The sequence below is a fragment of the Homo sapiens genome, chromosome 14 (genome assembly GCF_000001405.40).
Source record: "Homo sapiens chromosome 14, GRCh38.p14 Primary Assembly".
Classification (NCBI taxonomy): domain Eukaryota; kingdom Metazoa; phylum Chordata; class Mammalia; order Primates; family Hominidae; genus Homo; species Homo sapiens.
Window position 1 is genome coordinate 77,549,919 of NC_000014.9, and position 19,156 is coordinate 77,569,074.

Genomic DNA, 19,156 nt, shown 5'->3' on the forward strand with positions numbered 1-19,156 from the left:
TCTTAGCCATTTCTTAGTCACCTAAACCTGTGTGCTGAATCAGTAAGGTAAGTGTGCCTATGTGAAGTACCTAGAGAAATGCTAGCTGTATGTATATATATGTGTGTATATATGTCTGTCTCTCAGATTCACACACAGTTTCCACTAACACCACATCAGAAGGAGAGGAGATATAGCTGTTATTAACAGGGAGCTATTCACAGGCTCCACTATGTGTTTGCAACATTAATAAAACAACTTCTTCAAGGAATTAATTCACAAAACTGAAAATGATCACATTTCACTATTTCCAAAAATCTCTCATTAGAGATAACAAGGATCTAGCACAGATCAGAAAAAATGTTAAGGTAAAATTCTGATTTAAGAAAACAGTCGACTGGGCGCGGTGGCTTACGCCTGTAATCCCAGCATTTTGGGAAGTCAAGGCAGGCAGGTCACCTGAGGTCGGGAGTTCGAGACCAGCCTGACCAACACGGAGAAACCCGGTCTCTACTAAACATACAAAATTAGCCGGGTGTGGTGGCGCATGCCTGTAATCCCAGCTACTCGGGAAGGCTGAGGCAGGAGAATCGCTTGAACCTGGGAGGCAGAGATTGTGGTGAGCCAAGATCATGCCATTGCACTCCAGCCTGAGCAACAAGAGCAAAACTCCATCTCAAAAGAAAGAAAAGGAAAGGAAAAGAAAAGAAAAGAAAACAGTCAGCTGGGTGTGGTGGCTCACAGCTGTAATTCCAGCACGTTGGAAGGCCAAGGCAGGCAGACTGCTTGAGCCCAGGGGTTCAAGACCAACCTGGGCAACATGGTGAAACCCCATCTCTACAAAAAATACAAAAAAAATGGCCAGGTGTGGTGGCAGACTCCTGTGGTCCCAGCTACTTGGGAGGCTGAAACAGGAGAATCATGTGAACCTGGGAAGCGGAGGTTGCTGTGAGCTGAGATCGCACCACTACACTCCAGCCCGGGAGACAGAGCAAGACTCTGTCTCAAAAACAAAAACCAGAAAAAAAAAAAAAGAAAGAAAGAAAACAGTCTTAAACCAACCAAAATCAGATGTGCCACTTTATTCGATGCAAGCCAAATCAATCTTACAATAAAGTATTACATAACTGTAGAGTGGAGAGCTCATGGCTGATAATGTGAAATCTTTTACAAATGCCAAACTGACTTTACAAGCATTAAAAAAGCAACAACTGGGCCGGGCACGGTGGCTCACGCCTGTAATCCCAGCACTTTGGGAGCCCGAGGAGGGCGGATCACGAGGTCAGGAGATCGAGACCATCCTGGCTAATGCGGTGAAATCCCGTCTCTATTAAAAATACAAAAAAATTAGCCGGGCGTGGTGGCGGGCGCCTGTAGTCCCAGCTACTCGGGAGGCTGAGGCAGAATGGTGTGAACCCGGGAGGCAGAGCTTGCAGTGAGCCAAGATCACACCACTGCACTCCAGCCTGGGTGACAGAGTGAGACTCCGTCTCAAAAAAAAAAAAAAAAAAAAAAAGCGACAAGTGAAATTATTGTCTCATACATGCAATGAAAATATTTTTTAAAGTAAAGACAGACACCCAGTTGCTCCCCTTTTAGTACCACTGTTCTGCAGTCAATACTGCCCTCTGGTGTTGCAGAATAAAAGTCAAATGTCAGAAAGTGAACACTGAACTTCACTGTTCACAGTAGTATGTTTAAATCAAGGCATCTAGTTGGGACTACAAATCCCATCAAAGACAAAATAAACTGATTCAGGATGTCATTTATTATCTACCGTATATGAAAGTAGAAACTCTTTAAAAAGGCATTAAATCAGGAATACTAATTTATGAAAACAGCAGCTCTTAACTATGCTGTTAATGAAACATCACTAACAGTGAATTATACCTTCACATAAAATTATGTAATTCAAGAAAAACCTCGAAGGTATATTACCTCTGAGTTAAGAGGGTATGTAGGATAGTAAGAGTAAAGCCTCCCATCTATAAACAAGAAAATTCCATAGAAAGTGAGCCAGGGTCGTTCTCATGGCATATGTATCAAACACACTAAAAAAGTGTCCATGGAAACCACACACCAGCCAGCTCTGCCTATTAGTAAACCTGACTATTTATTTTAGGAAAAAAGCTCAAGAAAAACAGCACGTTTGGCTGCTAGGTGGACTTATGCAATGTTTCAAGAAAAGAAAGACTTACCAAGGCTGGTGCCATCCTGCCCCATGATGCACTTCATGGAGGTGATGATCTGCTCCACTACAGGAGGTGACAATGACGTGGCATACACTGCACTATGAGAATGTGTTCGCAGGTAGTCTATCAGCTCCTGGGGAGTTCACAGAGGCAGATAAGTAGAGACAATTCTTGCATTCACCGGCAATGTCAGTCCTTTCCTTCTAAGTTCTAGAGGACTCCTCACTTCAATGGCACTGGAATAGGGACACTAATCTGAGATACAAGGTCAACCAACATGGTCGAAGCATACCGCTGGCAACAACTGGGTCAGAAACATGGCAAAGTTCTTAGGTTTGGTTTTGTTTTTTAAACATGGAACAACATAAGAGAAAAACTAGTTTTAAAACAACCCCTCTAAATTTGGAGAATGTATCATTTAAAGTTAGAAATATGGCCGTGCATGGTGGCTCATGCCTGTAATCCCAGCAGTTTGGGAGGCCAAGGTGGGTGGATCTACTGAGGTCAGGAGTTCAAGACTGGCCTGACCAACATGGTGAAACCCCATCTCTACTAAAAATACAAAAATCAGCTGTGCGTGGAGGCGGGCACCTATAATCCCAGCTACTTGGGAGGCTGAGGCAGGAGAATCGCTTGAACCTAGGAGACGGAGGTTGCAGTGAGCTGAGATTGCGCCATTGCACTCCAGCCTGGGGGACAGAGTGAGACTCCGTCTTAAAAAAAAAAAAAAAAAAAAAGTTAAAAATAAATGAACACAGCTGAATTAAACAAGGTGTTTGGATTGCTTTTTAGATATAATGATTTAATTCCAAGTATCACAGAAAATGTCATCTGCAGCTCTGTGTGCCTATAAAGCCCATCCTTCTACCCCTAAATAACAGTTCTCTAACATCAACTTTAAGAGCATTAGAACTTCCTCCAGATATGCAGAAATGTATAAAATGATATAAATGTGAAATAGAAACTTACAAGGTATTTTATTAAAATGCCAATGACATCTCACTGAATAAAGTAAAACTCTGTCATTTACAAGGATTTCAAAAAAACTTAATTGTATATCCCTATTCTCTGATATCTTTTAATTTCACCAAATCTTTAAAATGCACACACAAGAAGCTTATGTACCAGAACAAATTAGGGGGACACAAATGTGGCTATGAAACAGTTTTATCTCAAAAATATTAAAAATTGTACTAAAAAAACCAAAAGCACAAATATATTGTACTTTAATGATCTCCCAGAGTATTATTTTTCTATCCTTTGGTTCACAGCCACAAAGCTTACTAAAAAACAACTCTCCAAAGTGAGCCTGGTCCCATTAACAAAAAGGTAATATTTGAGATAAAAATCTATCAAACCTGGCCAGGTGCAGTGGCTCACACCTGTAATCCTAGTACTTTGGGAGGCCGAGGCGGGCAGATCACGAGGTCAAGAGATCGAGACCATCCTGGCCAACACGGTGAAACCCTGTCTCTACTAAAAATACAAAAAATTAGCTGGGCATGGTGGCACGTGCCTGTAGTCCCAGCTACTTGGGAGGCTGAGGCAGGAGAATCGCTTGATCCCAGGAGGCGGAGGTTGCAGTGAGCCAAGATTGTGCCACTGAACTCCAGCCTGGCAATGGAGTAAGGCTTGGTCTCAAAAAAAAAAAAAAAAAAAAATCTATCAAAGCTGATTAAAAGTCACTGAAAATGAGTTCTCTCTAACAGGCAATCAAGTATTAAAAGAATGACCTTTTTTTCTGTGATAGGGTCTTGCTCTGTTGCCCAGGCTGCAATGCAGTGGTGTAATCACGGCTCACTGCATCCTTGATCTCCCAGGCTCAAGCAATCCTCTCATCTCAGCCTCCCCCATAGTTGGGACTACAGGCATGTGCCACCACCACACCCAGCTAATTTTTTTACTTTTTTGTAGAGATGAAGTCTCACTATGTTGCCCAGCTGGTATTGAACTCCTGGGCTCAAGTAATCCTCCCACTTCAGCCTCTCAAAGTGCTGGGATTACAGGTGTGAGCTACTGTGCCCAGCATAACCATTCTTTAATACTCCGAATATTGAGTGGTGAAGCAAAATTAAGAACATTTATGAGCACCTCCTCTGTGCCATATACAAATACCTGACATACATTATTTTTTCCCTAACATTGCAATCAACGTTTAAAAATAACAGCTTCATTGTGATATAAGCCACATACACAGAATTCACCGTTTTAAAGCACAATTCAGTGGTTTTTAGTATATCCAGAGTTGTGCCACTTTTACCACTAATTTTAGAACATTTCCATAACCCTGAAAGGAAACCTCATACCCATTAGCATTCACTTTCCATTTCCCTATCCCCTCCGCCTCCGGCAACTACTAATCTACTTTCTGTTTCTATGCTTATTCTAGGTATCACATATTTTAAAACATGCAATATGTGACTTTTTGTGACTTTTTTCACTTACCATAATGTTTTTAAGGTGCACCCACGTTGTAGCATGGACATATATTACTTTTTAAACCCTTACTACAATCTTACAAGCTGGGCATATTTATCTCCATTTTACTGACAAGGAAACTGGGAGGTTAAATGTTTTCCCTGAGGTCTAACAAAGTAAGCCGAGAAATATTCAGACCCAGGCCTCTGTCTTTATGGTTCACCATTTCGACCACACCACAGATTCTTACCTGCATCAAAATTCACCGTATGATTTTTTTCTGACTACAAAGACCCAGAAAAGGCAACTTCATAGTTTAAAAATTGAAAAATACAATGCTTTGTAGTACCCCACAGCTGGCACAACTTTTTTGCTTCCTGTCTCCATGTTCACTCATGATATATTTGTGTCCAAGGGCAAGGTGACCTGCTATTCCCATGGGCTCCCATGACAACCCCACTGTTTTTGAAACTGTGAGCACAATGCAAACCCAACAGAAGGCTGGGGCGGGCAGGGAGCACCACTGTGTGTTCTTTCACACAAGAGGGTATTCTATATCTCAGATCAGCATGTAGCTTAGAAAGAAGCTCAAATAAGAAAACAACAAACAATGAACAGAACCAGCCTTTAGTTCAGTGAGGAGACATTAGAGTCACTCACTGGTATTATGAGCCTAAACCAGAGGCAAATTTGCGGACATCCCAGTTCAGGGCCCCATCTGCTAGGCCTGAGGTACCAAATCTAATTGCCAGTGACTTTATCTCTAATCGCTCATTCTCATGGCTCGTTTACCTTCTTGCCTCCAATATATCCTCCAGAAGCACCAAAACTCTTTGTGAACGTTCCCATCATAACATCCACATCCTCGGGATCCAGGCCAAAGTACTCCACCACACCCCGGCCTGTGGGGCCCAGGGCGCCAATGCTGTGAGCCTCATCCAGATACAAGTATGCCTTGTATTTCTTCTTGAGGGCAATCACTTCAGGAAGACGAACAATAGATCCCTCCATGCTGGCAAAACATGAAAAAATATATATATACACATATACACTGAGACTTTTTAAATCAAAATTGGGAGTTTGGCACTTCATTATTATTGAGTTTACTGCTTCTTTTTTTTTTCTTGGGACAGAGTTTTGCTCCATTGTCCAGGCTGAAGTGCAGTGGCATAATCTCGGCTTACTACAATCCCTGACTCCTGGGTTCAAGCGATTCTTGTGCCTCAGCCTCCCAAGTAGCTGGGACTAGAGGTGCCCGCCACCACCACGCCCAGATAATGTTTGTATTTTTAGTAGAGATAGGGTTTCCTCATGTTTCCCAGGCTAGTCTCGAACTCCTGGCCTCAAGTGATACACCCGCCTTGGCCTCCCACAGTTCTGGGGTTACAGGAATAAGCCACCCTGCCCGGCTGAGTTTATTGGGTTTTAAATGGTCTGACAACTGTATCTGTGGCTTAAACTGACAAAGGTAGATGAAGCCATGGCAAGGCAAAAGACTAGGGGAAAGAAAACTGGACTTTTAAAACAAGCACTGGCTGGGCGCGGTGGCTCACACCTGTAATCCCAGCACTTTGGTGGGCTGAGGTAGGCGGATCACTTGAGGTCAGGAGTTCGAGACCAGCCCGGCCAACACAGTGAAACCCCGTCTCTACTAAAAATACAAAAATTAGCTGGGCTTGGTGGCACACACCTGTAATCCCAGCTACTCGGGAGGCTAAGGCAGGAGAACCGGGAAGCGGAGGTTGCAGTGAGCCGACATCCCGCCACTGCACTCCAGCCTGGGTGACACAGCGAGATTCCATCTTAAAAAAAAAGCCACCCAAACCACCAAAAAACAAAAAACAAGCACCAAACACAAGCAATCTTAATTCACGACAAAAATAATTAAGGTCACAGCAGATTCTTCTAAAGCTTGTAATTACAGGCAACATGAGACTTTGCATCACGTTGCACAGGCAATTAAAATGACACAAAAGAACAAAAAAAATTAGGTGGTAAAAATACGTGTAAAAGCTGTAAAGGTTAACCAAAATAAAATATTTCTTTTTAATTTTTATTTATTTTTTACAGAGACAGGGTCTCACTATGTTGCCCAAGCTGGTCTCAAATTCCTGGCCTCGAGCGACCTCCCACTTTTGCCTCCCAAAGTGTTGGGATTACAGGCGTGAGCCACTGCACTCAGCCTAAAATAAAATATTTATTAAAATTAAATGGTGTGTAATTTGTTTTGACATATTAAAATATATATTCCAATTCTTGCCCCTACATATAGGTTCCCTCTACAAACTAGAAAAATAAAAGACTCAAATAGAAAGGGGATTTGGTGACCATGTAGTATTATGGAAAGAATAACGAAGAACTAGACAAAAAGACTTCTGTTCTAATGCTGACTCTGTTTCCAGGTATTTTAGCGACTTATAAACACTGTCTCCTTAGTTTCCAGAGGGGGATAGACTAATGTTCCCTTCAGTTAAAAAATTCTATGACTTCATGGGGCCAAGTCACAAAGGTAAGAATAATAAAGCAGGATTACCTATATATTCCTTCCACAAGGATGAGAATTTTCTTCCAGGGCCTTCGTGTCCGAGGCTGACCATAAACAATGGCATCTTTCAATAGCTTCTCTAGGCTTTGCATATCTACAGAGCACAAAAAAGAACAGTTATACCGCATCTTCCTCTTTCCTAACTTTATTCCGGAAATGCAGAGATATATTTCTCATTCAGAAACCATGCCTCAGATAGCAAAGGACATAATTAGAGTTGGGCAGAAAAAAGCAGGGCAAAATAGGTGAATTATTGCCACCTTGAATTGAAATCCAAAATGTAACAAATGTTCAAAACCATCGAAACTTGACTAAAGGACGGTGGTGGCTAACTCAGTTCATTAGCTTCCTTATAAAATGACCAGTGTCTCATGTTAAATACCCTGCCATTAAGTTAGCTTCTGTGTGTTTATCGAAAAATACAGAATCAAACTGTATCTCTAATCCCAGTGAGTCATTCGGAAATAAATGCGTAAAAAAGACAGAGCGAGAGAGTGTGAATAAACCATCACAGACACATACTCCTCCTAAAAAAACAAACGCAAGGCGTAAAAAAACTTCACAGTGCGTGCTCCATTTCCTTTCACCCAGGACGTACTCAATAAACGCTTGTTAAAGAGTTTTATTTTGGTACTGGGTTAAAAATACACCCGTCTGGGGCATGTATAAGTCTGTGTGTTAAGCAAGCCTGACAATCAGTTGAAATTGTTCCATGTTTGACTTCATCAGTTGTCCATAAACAACCAAGTTCTTGTGGCTCTGTTGGTTCTTATGGTGGTTAATGGGCCTGGAAACAACTTGGCTGCTACTGCCATTAATGATGATCATAATTTCCTTGTTAAAGACAAATGCTTTGAAGACCATTGTTGCCACACTACAGATTTCATACTTAAAATACCTGCCCTGAAATGAAGTCCTTAAAAAAAACTCCCCCAAATTTAAGCAACATTAAGTCTGGGGAATACTTAATAGGGGTGGGAGACATCCTATCATAAAATCTTTTTTTTTTTTTTGAGATGGAGTCTCCCTCTGTCATCCAAGCTGGAGTGCAATGGTGTGATCTCTCCTCACTGAGGCCTCCACCTCCAAGGTTCAAGCAATTCTCCTGCCTCAGCCTCCCAAGTAGCTCGGATTACCAGCACCCGCCATCACGCCAGGCTAATTTTGTACTTTTGTAGAGACGGGGTTTCACCATGTTGGCCAGGCTTGTCTTGAACTTCTGACCTCAGGTGATCCGCCTGCCTCGGCCTCCCAAAGTGCTGGGATTACAGGCGTGAGCACCACGCCTGGCCCTATCATAAAATCTGATTTTGTATTCTGTATTGCTTGTAACTGGAGGAAGGAGTTATAAAAGTACATGATTTTGCTCTTTGCAGAAAACAATTTTGACAGAAAAAGAGATAAGGTAATAAAAACACAGAACACAAACACAAATAAGATAGTCTAAGGTTGTGACTGTGCTTACACATTCAGTAATTTCTAAGAAAAAAATCTGCATACGACCTAATCAAGATTCAGGAGATGTTCCCTACAGAAGTAAATTACGTCCTGACTCAAAGCCTCCAGTTTTTTTGTTTTTTTTTTTTTGAGACAGAGTCTTGCTCTGTCGCCAAGGCAGGAGTGCAGTGGCGTGATCTCTGCTCACTGAAACCTCCGCCTCCTGGATTCAAGTGATTCTCCAGCCTCAGCCTCCTGAGTAGCTGGGATTACAGGTGCATGCCACCACATCCAGCTAATTTTTGTATTTTTAGTAGAGGTGGGGTTTCACCATTTTGGCCAGGCTGGTCTTGAACTCCTGACCTCAGGTGATCTGCCCTCCTTGGCCTCCCCAAGTCCTGCAAAGCCTCCAGTTCTTAGGCAGAGAGCAATGTATGGCGATCAGCTGAAGACAAGTAAAAACACAGGAATTATTTTAGTTTTCTCTGTTTATATATAGAAGGAGGAGAAAAATAATACTGGTCAAAATTTTAGATAAAAGAAGCATCAGCCAGGTGTGGTGGCTCACGCCTGTAATCTTAGCACTTTGGGAGACCGAGGCGGGTGAATCGCTTAAGGTCAGGAGTTCGAGACCAGACTGACCAACATGGCAAAACCCTGTCTCTACTAAAAATACAAAAAAAATTAGCCGGTTGTGGTGGTGGGCACCTGTAATTCCAGCTACTTGGGAGGCTGAGACATGAGAATCGCTTAAACCCAGGAGACGGAGGTTGCAGTGAGCCAAGATCACGCCACTGCCCTCCAGCCTGGGTGACAGAGCAAGACTGTTTCAAAAAAAAGAAATACCTATAGCAGAATGCTTAACCATATTATCTACTTAGAAAAAAAAATTCAATCTCTCCAATGTTATGCCCCCAAATTCCACATAAATTTAAATAAAAAATATATCGCAAAACTCCCAGAAGAAAACATGAAAGAATAACATTATGATCTGAGAATGAGGAGGGTATTGTGTAAAATCCGAAAGTCGTAAAACAGTAAGTGTGGCAACAAAAACATTTTCATGAGTCTGTACAGGAAGACACTGAAAACAAAGTCAAAAATATAAAAATAGTGCAGTCTGGGCATGGTGAATCACTCCTGTAATCCCAGCATTTTGGGAGGCTGAGACAGCAGGATCGTTTCAGCCTAAGAGTTCAAGACCAACCTGGGCAACACAGCGAGACTTTGTCTCTATAAAAAATAAAAAACACTAGTCCGGCATGGTGGTGGATGCCTACAGTCCTAGCTACTCAGGAGACTGAGGCAGGAGAATCATTTGAACCTAGGAGGTCAAGGCTGTGGTGAGTTGTGGTTCTGCTACTTCACTCCAGCCTGGGTGATGCAGCAAGACCCTGTCTCAAAAAAATAATAATAAAATAATGCAACATAAAGGAAAAGATAATTAATATAAAGGGCTCTTATAATCAGTAAAAAATAGAAACAATTTGAAAATGGCCAATTTATAAAGAAATACAAACACATTAGCTTACAAGTAGAGTTAAAAAAACAGTAAAAATGCAAAAAGTTGTTCTATATCTAATAAGCAATGAAATAAAAACTAACATATTATTTCCTCATTAGATTTGGAAAGATTTAAAATGATTCACCATAGCCTATGTTGGCCAGTGAGTAGGAACAGTCAATCTCATGTTGTTGAGGAAAAATTCATACAAGATGCAAGCATGTGTATGTTCATTGTAGCACTATTCACAACAGCAAAGACATAGGATCAATCTAAATGTCCATCAACAGTAGACTGGATTAAAAAAATGTGGGCCAGGCGTGGTGGCTTATGCCTATAATCCCAGTACTGGGAGGCCAAGGTGGGTGGATTGCTTGAGCCCAGGAGTTCAAGACCAGCCTGGGCAACATGGTGAAACCCCATCTTTACAAAAAATACAAAAAGAAAACACAAAAAACAAAAAACAAAAAACTTGGCCGGGCGTGGTGGAACACATCTGTAGTCCCAGCTACTAGGGTGGCTGAGATGGGAGGATCGGTTGAGCTGGGGAGGTAGAGGTTGCAGTGAGCTGAGTTCATGCCAATGCATGCCAGCCTGGGAGACAGAGCAAGACTCTGTCTCAAAAATAAAAATAAAAATATATATATATATATGTACATATACACCATGGAATACTATGTAGCCATAAGAAAGAATGAGATCATGTCCTTTGCAGCAACATGGATGCAGCTAGAAGCCATTACCCTAAGCAAACTAATACAGGAACAGAAAACCAAATACCACATATTCTCACTTGTAAGTGGGAGCTAAACACTGAGTACATACAGACACGACTAAGGGAACAACAGACACTGGGGTCTACTTGAGAGTGAGGCAGGGGAGGTTGAGGAGGGTAAGGTTCGAAAAACTACCTACCTATCAGGTACTATGCTGATTACCTGGGTGGCGAAATAATCTGTACACAAACCCCCGAGACATGCAATTTACCTATATAACAAACCTGTACATGTACCCCTGAACCTAAAATAAAAGTGAAAAAAAAAAAGTTCATATAATGCTTAGAGGCAATTTGGAAAAGTATTAAAAATGTATACTCTTTTAACCATGCATTCTGAGACTGCTAGAAATTTATCCTAAGGCACTAACCAGATGATGGTACAAAACTGTAACTGTAGTGCTGTTCCCAGTAGAAAAATTTAGAAACAGCCCCGATGTCCAATTGAGGGGGCAATTAAATGAGGGCACACCCAGGCACTAACTGCCACACTGGTATTTAAGAATGAGATAGAGTTACATGTAATGACAAACAACAATCACCGTGTATTGTAAAAAGAGGCCAGGCATGATGGCTCACACCTGTAATCCCAGCACTTTGGGAGGCCAAGGCGGGAGGATCAACTGAAGTCGGGAGTTCAAGACCAGTCTGGCCAACACAGTGAAACTCCGTCCCTACTAAAAATACTAAAAATTAGTCAGGTGTGGTGGCGCGCTCCTGTAATCCCAGCTACTCGGGAGGCTGAGGCAGGAGAATCGCTTGAACTCGGGAGGCAGAGGTTGCAGTGAGCCAAGATTGAGCCACTGCACTCCAGCCTGGGTGACAGAGCGAGACTCTAGCCTCAAAAAAAAAAAAAAGAAAATAACAGGTTACATAGTGATATTTAATAAGATCTCATTTCTCACTGTAAAACATTTTAGACAAGACAAAAACAAAAACAAAAACAAAAATGATGTTATCATCTATGATCCTTCCATCCACGGGTACACACCTAACATTTTGGTATACATTCTTCCAAACTTTTGTCTGTGCCTGTACACATTTTGGGAAAAGATGCTATTAACATACAGTTTGGTCACCTTTTCTGCCTATGTGTGTGTTTTAACTATGAAAGTTACGCATTTTTATTCTAAATAATCATTTTAATAATACACAAAGATATTTCCACTGAGGGAGGAAAGGTCTGGCTCAGGGCCACCCTCCTCTGTGCTCCCACAGCATCTATTCATAGCTGTACTTCAGCACCTGTCCACTATATTGTAAGGACTGGCTTATCTATTAAGTCTCTTCGTTAACCAGTCAGAGATCTTGATTTATTCACTTAAATACTGTTAGTCTTATGGCAAGATACACTATAGTCATCGAGTAAATGTATTTGAGTAACGGATCTGTAAACAAGGAAATGGGATGGAAAACTTCATGGTCAAATAAAAGGATAGTATTATATTTGTACAAGAGGCTTCCATCAACCTCTAATTTTAAAAGACTGGACCGGAAGAACATTTTAAATGTTGCTACTTTGTCTTCATTTATACTTTCAAGTGCTAATATAACTAATGTTAACTCCCACCATGGATCGAAAGAATAGCAAAACCAAGGCCAGCAGTGAATTCTTCAGCAAACTCACTGTTGTGTTTGAAGATTCTAATGGTTGCTCCTGACAGTCTGGCTCCCAGAACCAGTGATGCATGATTCAGTTCATCACTCAGAATCAGGCAACCCTGCAACATCACAGGAACAGAAAGGTAAGAAGCTGGAGGGGAAAGGGTTAGTTACACAAATCACAAAATGCCACAAACACTAATAGCTGTATCTTATTAAGGAAATTGTGCACAACAGCACAGTGATCAATTTTAAGAAGAGGAAAAAGGTGTACACGATCATTTGTTTTTTGTAAAGACACCTTAAAAGTAGATGCAAAATTCTAGCCTTTTAATTTAATATCTTCAGTCCCATGACTGATGTAAATACTCAGATATATGGCAACAGGTCTTTATTTGTATCTAAAACATGACACATCCGTCTCTAAAACGTTTTGGTTTCTTTACGTGAGAGAATTCCATGTAGTTTTAGTATCATGTTCTGTTTATCTGTGGGAAATGGCAGCTGATGGGGTCATGTCTGTGGAAATGGTGCATTCTCTCACTACTACTCATATCCAGAGTCCAGGGAAGATCCTACTTATTAACTTTTTCCCCACATAGCATGGACTGTAGGCTTCAGTTTTGTCTTAAAAATCCCCAAACAAGCTTTGCTTTAACACACAAACATCAGTTTCTGCTAAGGCAACTAAGAAAAGGTTGAAGATCTCGGTTTGGTTTTTTTTTTCACTGCAGTTCTTACTCTTCCATCTCTCAGGGGGCCCTTCAACCTGTCAGATCTCAACTCAGAAAAAGGTTTTTCTCTGTCAAAAATAGCCTCATAATATCCAATTAGATGAAAAGGGTGCAGAAAGTATATAGCATGCTCCCACGAGAATAAAAAGAAGAGAGAAGATACAAAGACACACAGTCATCCCTCAGTCTACAGGAGGACTTGGTTCCAGAACTGCCTCACCCTCACATTTATCCAAATCCATCCATGCTCATGTCCTGCAGTTGGCCCTGTGGGACCTGCAGGCCCTCCATATACTTGGGTTTTGTGTTCCATGAATACTATATTGTGTGTATGTGTGTGTGTGAGATGGAGTCTTGCTCTTGTTGCTGGAGTGCAGTGGTGCGATCTTGGTTCACTTGCAACCTCTGCCTCCCAGATTCAAGCGATTCTCCTGCCTCAGCGTCCCAGCTAGCTGGGATTACAGGAGCCCACCACCAGGCCCAGCTAATATTTGTATTTTTAGTAGAGATGGGGTTTCACCATGTTGGCCAGGCTGGTCTTGAACCCCTGACCTCAGGTGATCCACCCGCCTCAGCGTCCCGAAGTGCCAAGATTACAGGTGTGAGACACTGTGCCTGGCTGAAAACTGTATTTCTGCTCCATATTTGGTTGAAAAAAATCCACGTGTAAGTGGACCTGCATGGTTCAAACCATGTTGTTCAAGGGTCAACTATATATATACATGCTTATTTATTACAGAATATTCTTAAAGGAATACTTAAGAAACTTGTAACAGTAGTTGTGTTTGAAATTTTTATTATGCACATAGTATTTATTAAGATAAAAAAGCTACCTGGTTAAAAATGTACAGATTAAAAATGAAGTGGCCAGGCATGGTGGCTCATGCCTGTAATCCTGGCAATTTGGGAGGCCAAGGTGGGTGGATCACTTGAGGTCAGGAGTTCGAGACCAGCCTGGCCAACATGGCAAAACCCCATCTCTACTAAAAAGAAAACACAAAAAAATTAGCTGGGCGTGGTGGCAGGCGCCTCAAATCTCTGCTACACAAAAGGCTGAGGCAGTGAGGCAGTGAGCCGAAATTGTGCTGCTGCACTCCAGCCTGGGCAACAGAGGGAGACTCTGTCTGGGGGGAAAAAAAAAAAAAAAAGGAGGAGGAGGAGGAAGAGGAGGAAGAGGAGGAAAAGGAGGAAGAGGAGGAGAAGGAGGAGAAGGAGAAGAAGGAGAATAAGGAAAAGGAGAAGACTAGAGCCGGCAGTATCAATAGACTCCTGGCTTTCAAATCTTTATGCATGCATACACACACACACACACACACACACACACACACACACACACACACACACACAGATGTGTGTGTATGCATGAGTTCGCATATATACATACATTTTCTAGCTCTAGTCACTGAGAGGTGAGAAGCAGTGATACTCCTTCAGCAATAAACACACCTAGTTCCCAGACCTTGGTTTCTAAATATCATTCTCCAAAAAAAAGAACCAGCACTTCTTGGAGAACTGGTTAATTCCAAAACTGGGATAGGGAAAATATAAGATGATCCTGGAGCATTTTATCATGCCAGAAAGTATAAGAATGCTTTAAAAAAAAAAAGTTATTATATATTCAAAGGACACAGGTACCCACCTGAAGCAGCTCCCAATGGCCAAAACTAAAACTCGAGCAACAAAAAAGAAGCAATTGTGTTGAATTATAAGCCAAATAATAAAAATATTCACAAACCCACAACGACAGAAATAAATAAGGGAGAAGCAAGAACTCTTCCTTACACAAAAATTCTAATTAGTAAGTATAGAAAGAATGAGAAAAATAGAAAAATCACCATTAGAACACCAAGGTAAGCCGGGTGCGGTGGCTCACGCCTGTAATCCCAGCACTTTGGGAGGCTGAGGTGGCTGGATCACCTGAGGTCAGGAGTTTGAGACCAGCCTGGCCAACGTGGTGAAACCCCATCTCTACTAAGAAATACAAAAAATTAGCCGGGCATGGTGGTGGGTGCCTGTAATCCCAGCTACTCAGGAGGCTGAGGCAGGAGAATTGCTTGAACCCAGGAAGCAGAGGTTGCAATGAGCTGAGATGGCGCCACTGCACTCCAGCCAGGGCAACAAGAGCAAAACTCCATCTCAAAAAAAAAAAAAAAAAAAAAAAAAAGAACACCAAGGTAATAACTGCCACAGGCAAGATCACAGATGCATACTAAAGTTAGTGGGTGAAAGTTTAATCCAAAATGCTATATACAGTCCCAAAGTATCTCTGCCACAATATATGGTGATTACAAAGAGAAAAGCAGTAAGTTGGTAGTAGAAAATCCCCGCTGACACCTGAGACAAGCGATTAAGATTTACATCATCAGTAATATGTATCAAAACCACATAGTCTCTCGCATGATTCACTGAGAATGGTATCACTTCTGTGGTAGCTTTCTCAATAACGCACGGACTCAATCAAACCATAACAACACAACAGACAGACCCAAATTGGAGACATTCTACAAAATAAGGGACCAGTACCCTTCAGAAGTATTAAGGTCATGAAAGACAAAGAAAAACAGGAACTATCCCAGATTGGAGGAGACTGAGGAGCTACAACAGCTAAAGACAATGTGGATCCTCACCTGGATCCTGAAGCGGAAAAACTGGTGAAAACCAAATACGTCCTGTACTTTAGTTATAGTATTGTGTCACAGTTAATTTCTTAGCTGTAAGAAACAGTTCCACTGTTATGCAAGATGTTAACATAAAGGGAAGCTGAATGAATGGTATACAGGAACTCTCTGTACTCTTTTGTAACTCTTTTTGTAAGTCTAAATTAAAGTTTCAAAAAAGTGTTAAAATTGAAAAAGCGAAACTGGGGGAGAAAATAAAGAGAAGTCAGATTTCTCTTCAGCAAGTCAAATTCTTTACTTACCACTCTTGGCATTCAACTCTATCTTAAAAAGAACCCTCCCTTCCCTTCCCCTCCGCACAAAATTTTATTTTCTTCTCTTTCCAGCTAAATATTTTTCTGGCAAACCTGCAAAAGCATTATGTTCTTTTTTTCTGGCAAAAAGGAACTCTTTTTAGACAGCCTTTTTTAGACAGCCTTATTCAGCATTTCAATGTATCAATCTGTCTTTTTCCCTTAGAACTTATTCTTAAGCTTTATTAAATCTTTGGTTCAAAAATAAAAGGTATTCATACTAGCAGTTAACATCTAAGCGCTTAATGTTTCAGGTATCATGTTAAAAGATTTAAAAGCATTATTACTATTAATCCTCACAATAATTCTATGTAGCAGACACTATTATCACTCCCACTTTACATATGAGGACACTCTTGTTCAGGAGTTTAGAATCTTGCTCAAGGTCACAAGCACAGTAACAAAATAATAATAGCAATACTAATTATTGCCCAGGCTGGAGTGCATCGGCGCAATCTCGGCTCACTGCAAGCTCCGCCTCCCGGGTTCACGCCATTCTCCTGCCTCAGCCTCCCGAGTAGCTGGGACCACAGGCGCCTGCCACTACGCCTAATTTTTATATTTTTAGTAGAGACGGGGTTTCACCGTGTTAGCCAGGATGGTCTCGATCTCCTGACCTCGTGTTCCACCCGCCTCGGCCTCCCAAAGTCCTGGGATTACAGGCGTGAGCCACCGCGCCCGGCCACAAAATAATTATTAAATAAGACAAGTGTCTGCTTCCAGAACCTATGCTCTTAATCAATATACTGCCCCACCCTGCCATCAAACTGAGCAATTAACCACCTCACATGGAAATTCAGTATCAGATTCAAAGGATCATTAAAACTGGATAAGTTACTGTCTTTAACAGATTAAACAATATTTAATAATATTTCAATTATAGTTTGATTTGGAATATAAATCTTTTTTTTTTGAGACGGAGTCTCGCTCTGTCCCCCAGGCTGGAGTGCAGTGGCCCGATCTCGGCTCACTGCCAGCTCCGCCTCCCGGGTTCACGCCATTCTCCTGCCTCAGCCTCCAGAGTAGCTGGGACTACAGGCACCCGCCACCACGCCCGGCTAATTTGTTGTATTTTTAGTAGAGACAAGGTTTCATCCTGTTAGCCAGGATGGTCTCGATCTCCACCCGTCTCAGCCTCCCAAAGTGCTGGGATTACAGGCGTGAGCCACTGCGCCCGGCCCTGGAATATAAATCCTTATGGTTGTATCTTCCAGGTCTGTGTAGAAAACGTCTAATTCTAGATAATCCTCTGATAGAGCTTGTAAGCATACAGAGAGAAGAGCAAGATGAGATTTTCTAATCCTCTAGTGTTAAAAATTCTAACAAATAAGAATCTCAGGCTTGTACTTCAAAATGCAGGACAGCAACGTATTATAACGTGAAGTCAAAGAACCATACATTTATGTCTTACAAGGAATTTTGTGTATTTTATCTAAGTTGTTGAATATTTTGGCATGAAGTTGTTCTTAATACTCCCTTATTATCCTTTAATGTCCATAGGACGTGTAGTGATGTCCCCCTCTCTCATTCCTGTTACTGGTAATATGCACCTTATCTCTTCTTATCCTGACCATTCTGGCCACAGATTTATCAACTATATTCATTTTCTCAAAGAATCAGCTTTGGTTTCACTAATTTTCCTATTGTCTATTTTCTAATTCATTAATTTTTGCATTTATCATCATTATATTCTTCCTTCTGCTTAGTTTGGGTTTAATTTGTTTTTCTTTTTCTAATTTTTTAAGCTACAAGCTTTACTTTTTTTTTTTAAGATGGAGTCTGGCTGCTTTACTTTTTTTCTAATACAGGTTGAATATTCCTTATTCAAAATGCTTGGGACCAGATGTGTTTCAGAGTTCAGATTTTTATGGATTTTGGATTATTTGCATTATATTTACTGGTTTAGCACCCCTAAGCATTTTCTTTGAGCTGTCATGATGACACTCAAAATATTTACGAGTTTGAAACATTTTAGATTTCAGATTTTGGGATTAGGAATGCTCAACCTGTATAAACGTTTAATGCTATACATTTCCATCTGAGCATTGCTTTAGCTTCATCCAACAAACTATAATAGGTTACATTTCCATTTAGTTCAAAATATGTTTATTTTCCCCTGTTTTTTCTTCTTTGGCCCATGGGTTATTTAGAAATATATTGTTTAATTTTCAAATATTCAAAGGTTTTCCAGATATCTTTGTGTTATCAATTTCTAATTTAAATTCCACTGTGATCACAGAACATACTTTGAATAATTTTAATACTTTCAAATTTACCAAAACTGGCTTAATGGCCTAGAATATGGTCTTTGGTAGTAAATGTTTTGCTGTTGTTGAGTGAAGTGTTTCATGACTCTCAATTAGGTCAACTGGTTGACAGTGTTTTCCAAACATTCTATATCATTACTGATTTTCTGTTTCATTCTTCTGTTAATTAAGAGAGAGGGGTTAGGGCAGGGCACAGTGGCTCACGCCTGTAATCCCAGCACTTTGGGAGGCCGAGGCAGGCAGATCATGAGGTCAGGAGATCAAGACCATCTTGGCTAACACGGTGAAACCCCGTCTGTACTAAAAATACAAAATATTAGCCAGGTGTGGTGGTGGGCGCCTGTAGTCCCAGCTACTCAAGAGGCTGAGGCAGGAGAATGGCGTGAACCCGGGAGGCAGAGCTTGCAGTGAGCCGAAATCACACCACTGCACTCCAGCCTGGGCAAGAGAGCGAGACTCTGTCTCAAAAAAAAAAAAAAAAAAGAGAGAGGGGTTAATGTCTCTAATTACAATTTTCTATTTGTCTACTTCTTTTAGTTTCATCAATTTCTGCTTCACGTACTTTGACGCTCTGTTAATAACCCATTTATGCCAGAGGTTACAATTTTTTGAATTGCAAAATCAGACCCTGGCGATGACCTTGAGCAGTAGGATATAAATAACTCCCACATGCTTAGCGTTCCAATAATGGAACATTAGGCATAAATGGGATAAGCACCTACACATTTAAAA

At 41.1% G+C, this 19,156-nt stretch overlaps 1 protein-coding gene across 2 annotated transcripts in view, besides 2 other annotated features; it reads right to left on the reverse strand.

The window, feature by feature from the left end:
* SPTLC2 (serine palmitoyltransferase long chain base subunit 2) overlaps positions 1-19,156 on the reverse strand; it is a 110,641-nt gene that overhangs the window by 43,922 nt on the left and 47,563 nt on the right. For both annotated transcript variants that reach the window (NM_004863.4, XM_011537384.3), the window contains exons 6-9: positions 12,478-12,571; positions 7,123-7,228; positions 5,382-5,601; positions 2,178-2,304 (exon numbers count right to left, since the gene is read on the reverse strand). In NM_004863.4, the coding sequence (NP_004854.1) occupies positions 2,178-2,304; positions 5,382-5,601; positions 7,123-7,228; positions 12,478-12,571 (547 nt within the window). The remainder of the gene's footprint in view (positions 1-2,177; positions 2,305-5,381; positions 5,602-7,122; positions 7,229-12,477; positions 12,572-19,156) is intronic.
* Positions 4,430-4,689: an enhancer, noted in NCBI's record as "active region_8804". NCBI's record gives its function as "activates an Ori minimal core promoter by ATAC-STARR-seq in GM12878 lymphoblastoid cells {active_cell/tissue: GM12878}" and the evidence as "EXISTENCE:reporter gene assay evidence [ECO:0000049][PMID:35858748]".
* Positions 4,960-5,019: an enhancer, noted in NCBI's record as "active region_8805". NCBI's record gives its function as "activates an Ori minimal core promoter by ATAC-STARR-seq in GM12878 lymphoblastoid cells {active_cell/tissue: GM12878}" and the evidence as "EXISTENCE:reporter gene assay evidence [ECO:0000049][PMID:35858748]".